The sequence below is a fragment of the Homo sapiens genome, chromosome 6 (genome assembly GCF_000001405.40).
Source record: "Homo sapiens chromosome 6, GRCh38.p14 Primary Assembly".
NCBI lineage: Eukaryota > Metazoa > Chordata > Mammalia > Primates > Hominidae > Homo > Homo sapiens.
Genome location: NC_000006.12, coordinates 169,407,688 through 169,412,192, shown reverse-complemented (window position 1 = coordinate 169,412,192; position 4,505 = coordinate 169,407,688). Strand labels below are relative to the sequence as shown.

The 4,505-nt window shown below is 43.2% G+C and overlaps 1 annotated feature.

Annotated features, from left to right (window-relative positions):
* Positions 236 to 429: a silencer, noted in NCBI's record as "fragment chr6:169811859-169812052 (GRCh37/hg19 assembly coordinates)". NCBI's record gives its function as "represses an EF-1alpha promoter that drives an FKBP-Casp9 reporter gene in an ReSE screen in phorbol 12-myristate 13-acetate-treated (for megakaryocytic differentiation) K562 erythroleukemia cells {active_cell/tissue: K562(+PMA)}" and the evidence as "EXISTENCE:reporter gene assay evidence [ECO:0000049][PMID:32094911]".

Below are 4,505 nucleotides of genomic sequence, written 5' to 3'. Positions count from 1 at the left end.
ACCTAGTCTGTGCCCATTTATCCTAAGGCTGGCTGTTGTTTCAGACCCTGTCATACAGAAAAAGTTCTATTTTCCCAACTTGTGTAGAAAGCCTGTCTTATATAATCATGTAAGGGTTCCCCTGTCCTTTTAGGTTCTGAGACTCCCCATCCGACTGCACAACAGTCCTCATGGATGCTGTGTGGCAACTGGCCATGAGCTCACACCGGGGACTCCGGGGGTTCCTCATCTCTGGGAAGAGCTCACACCAGGGACTCCAGGCGATTCCTCATCTATAGGAAGAGCTCACACTGGGGACTCCAGGCAGTTCCTCATCTATGGGAAGAACATATGTCAAGGACTCCAGGTGGTTCCTCTGTGGGAAGAGCTCACACTGGGGACTCCTGGGGGTTCCTCCTCTGTGGGAAGGGCACGTGCTAGAGACTTCAGGTGGTTCCTTCTCTATAGAAGAGCACACAGTGGGGACTTCAAGCAGCTCCTCATCTATGGGAAGAGCTCACGCCAGAACAACCTTCCAACATAAGACTAACTTCCCTGTTGTATCTAACAATGCGGAGGCTCTTGGGAAGTGGGATCACCACATAAGGCAGGGACTGGGGCAGGGAGGATCAGCAAAGCTCCCCTCGGCTCTGCCATGGCTGGCAGGGCAGCACCGCTGGTATGGACAGGCCACACGAGGTGGGGTCCTCAAGCCCCGGGAGAATGCATTTCTGTGTTCCGTGAGGGTCACCTCCCCACTCTGATGAACCCGCCACAGCCTTCAGGGGCTTCCATGCATGGGAACATTGCTGGCACCAGCTTTTCTGCTCCTGAGCCCAACCAGCATTCGCAAAGCTGGGTCTTCACTGGGACCAGGAATCAGAGCCAGAGCCACAGGGCAGCTGAGTAGACATCTGCTTCCAGGTTCCCAGTAGTTCAGAAAGGCACTTTTCAGACTTCTCTTATCTGGGTCTGTTAGGTCCAAGGATCATAATAACAAGTCTCGTTCTTGGAGATCCACATCCGAAGCTTGGTCATGTATCCAGCAATTTGTCATTTATTATGTTTTCTGTAACTGAGCATTCATCCTTTGATTTATTTGACCATGGAGTATTTCTCCAGCACACTTTCTACTGCTTGCCCCTCTTAAGCCCAGGAATTCAGGCCTTTTCACAAACTGCTTTTAATTAGGGGTAATCATTTGTTTCTCTCAAGTCATTTGGGGCTTCTACGAGATAATCCTTTCATCAGCATCTCCAGACTTCTTTGAATGTGTCCCACAACCCTAACTGAAAAAAAGAAAACAACAACAGAGCTTTCATGATCATCTTGCATTCTCTTGCACAAAACTTAGAATCAGCCCCTTTTCAAGGGGCCCTTTTTGATAATTTGAGAATAACTGGGGAGACTGAATCCTGGGCACTGGGGAGGCACAGCATGTAATGAAGATGAGCGGAGCAATTGAGACATTTACGGACACTTCCAGAAAAAGCAGAAAACCTCCCTTTTTTAAAGAGTCATACTTTTTTGGTCAACATTTGTGATTTTACTTAAGATACATTTACCCTGTTCTAAAGACAGGGTTTACTAATCCAATCTTTCCTCTTCTTGATTTTGAGCTACCACATTCTGTTTACTGACTTTGATGTACCATGACTTACCAGGTCATTAAAACATTTGATTTAATTATAAGTTTGCCCAATCTCTAGAATCCTGCATTTATTTTCTTTATTGGACTTCAGCTTAAACATCCGGAAACTAGTGGCTAAGTCTGTGAGTCCAGATAATGTTCCTTGCTGGGGTGGTAAAAGCATCCTCAGTCTGAAAAGAAGCAGTGCCAGCCTCTATCCATGGGACATGCAGGCCCAGGAGGCCTCTCAGGTCAGACAGACCCTCATGTAGTTAATAGATAGCAGGCCAGTGCAGACACTAAATACCTTTCATAGTGCATTTGCTAGAGAGGGTGGACAGGCAGAGAGGGAAGGGCAGGACCAGGGCCCCAGGGAATGTCTAGCCAGGCAACTGTCATAGCAATTGTCAGGCAGCTTCTTCAGGAATGATAGGTGGTCATGGCTGGTGCCAGGGAATGAAATATTTCCCAACAAACAGGAAACATCTTGAGCTTGTGGGCAACAGCTTCCCACTGAGAACTTAAAATATGTCCAGGCATGCGCAGAAAGGGGTGAAATGGCGAAGTCTGAACAGTATATGACCTTCCTCTGGGGGAGCTAGACCAGGAAGGGAAAATTTCCCTAAGACAACATGCACATAACTTCAACCACCAAAGGACACATGTGGCCCCTCCCAAATGCTGGCAAGTCACTGCGCATGTGGGGATTAGCCAACAGCCCACCCAAGGGAAAAGACAAGGGGAAGAGACCAGAAAAAAACAGGAAATAGCAAATCTATGAGAGCCCCAAGCCAAAGGTCCTGTGGGACCCTCAATCTTTCGAGTGCCTGCTTGGTTCTGCCGAGTGTACTTCCTTTACTTCCATAAACCTTCACTTCCGCCTTAAATCTACTTCTGTCTCTTGGCTGAATTCTTTCTTCCAAGAAGACAAGAATCGAGGACCATGGACCCCACCTGGGCTCGCTGCTGATAACATATTGACTTCTGCTCTTTATTTTATGATTGTCTCTTTTTTCCCAGTTTAATTTGTTGTTTCTTTTTTAGCTTCTTGATGTAGAAGGGTAGATAATTATTTTTCAACTTTTTCTACCTCCTGTGTGTGTGTGTATACATCTATAGGTATTGTAAAAAACATATAAATTTCTGTCTTGGCACTGTTGAGCTACAACCCACAAGTTTCGATTATTTTTTTCAACAACTTTATTTACATAAAAGTGATATACAGTGAACTGCAATCATTCTGATACAAACACTTAGCAAAGTAAGAGTAGAAGACAACAGCTATTAAAGTCTTCAGCCCATTATTTTACCAGGTTATTAGTTTGTATTAAAGGACAAATACTATGTAATTCCACTTTTATGAGGTCCCTAGAGTAGTGAAAATGATAGAGACAGAGAGTGTAATGGTGGGTGCCAGGGGCTGGGTCTGGGGGTTAGGGAGTTAGCATTTAATGGGGACAGGGTATCAGTTTTACAAGATGAAAAGAGTTCTGGATATAAATGGTGGTGATGGTTGCACAGCAGTATGAATGTACTTAATGCCACTGAACTGGGCACTCAAAAATGGTTAAGATGGTAGGTTTTACTTTATGTGTATTTTACCATAATCAATAATTGGAAAACAATAGAGAGGTGAAGTACTGATACATGACACAACATGGAAGCACCTCAGAAGCGATGTGGGAAGTGAAAGAAGCCAGACACACAGAAACACATCTGATCTGACCACATTTCTATGAAATATCCCATACAGGCAAATCCATAGAGACAGGAAGCAGGTTTGCGTCTGCCACAGGCGAGGAAGGAGGAGTTAGTACTTAATGACCGTGGAGTTTCCTTCAGGGTGACAGAAATGTTTGAGAACAAGTGAGTGTTGAGGCCGCACTACACTGTGAGTGTCCTAAATGCGCTTAGTTGTGTACTTTAAATGATTATCGTGGTGAATTTTAAGTTATGTATATTTAACCTCAATTTACAAAATCTAAAAAAAAAATTAAAAGAATAGAAGAATAAAAACCAACTACATTGTTACGCTTAGAGGTGAATTATTAAAAGCCCATTTCTCCATGTGGGAGAAGAAAGACAAGCCCTGCTCAGAGTCCTTGAATAAAATCCCAGCTCCTTGCGAAAGCCAGAGTCACCTGGAGCTTAAACAGTGTGGGGTGTGAGCGGCAGGAGGCTCTAGACTTGCTACTTCAGGTCAGAACGCTCACGTTAGGGCCCGAGTTATCACCCATGTTGTCTGCCTGCTCTTCTTAGCAAATTGCTCGTGCACCTTGGATGTATAGACCTGGACCTAATGCACCTACCAGAGAGTATTTGGGGATATAAAAATAAATACTCCTAGAGCAAAATGTCATAAAATTGGTTGGATGGAAATATAAATTTTTAAGTTCTTTACTACTCATTATTTCAACCTAGTTCAAAAGTTTCTTAGAAAATATATTCTGGTTTTGAAGCTTGTCTCTTGCAAAACTATATTTAGCAGAATTTTCCTTCTCGCCCACCTTAATCCATCCCAGCCCTACATCAGTTTGCTGTCATCTGGCAAAGCAATTGCAAAGAACCATTCATCAAATAAAACCTCTTGAAAAAATAATGTACTCCTCAAAGTAAAATAATATTAGTAAAAAAAAAATCGAAACCTGAATTACTGTGCCTAGCCTTTATTCTCTTTCATTTCCAGTTTTATCATTGCAAACGTTCATGTTGGATGGGCTCAGCCAATATGGGAGTAGCCCCTGAAAAAACAAAATGATTCTTTTAATGGCCAAAGGGAAAATTAAAGAAAACAAAACCTAACATGCTGAAATAAAGACTTTTAGGACAGTTTTAGCCATTCTACCAAGTTTTATTTTGTTTGGAAAGCAATGAAAAATGATGAAAATCTCCTTTC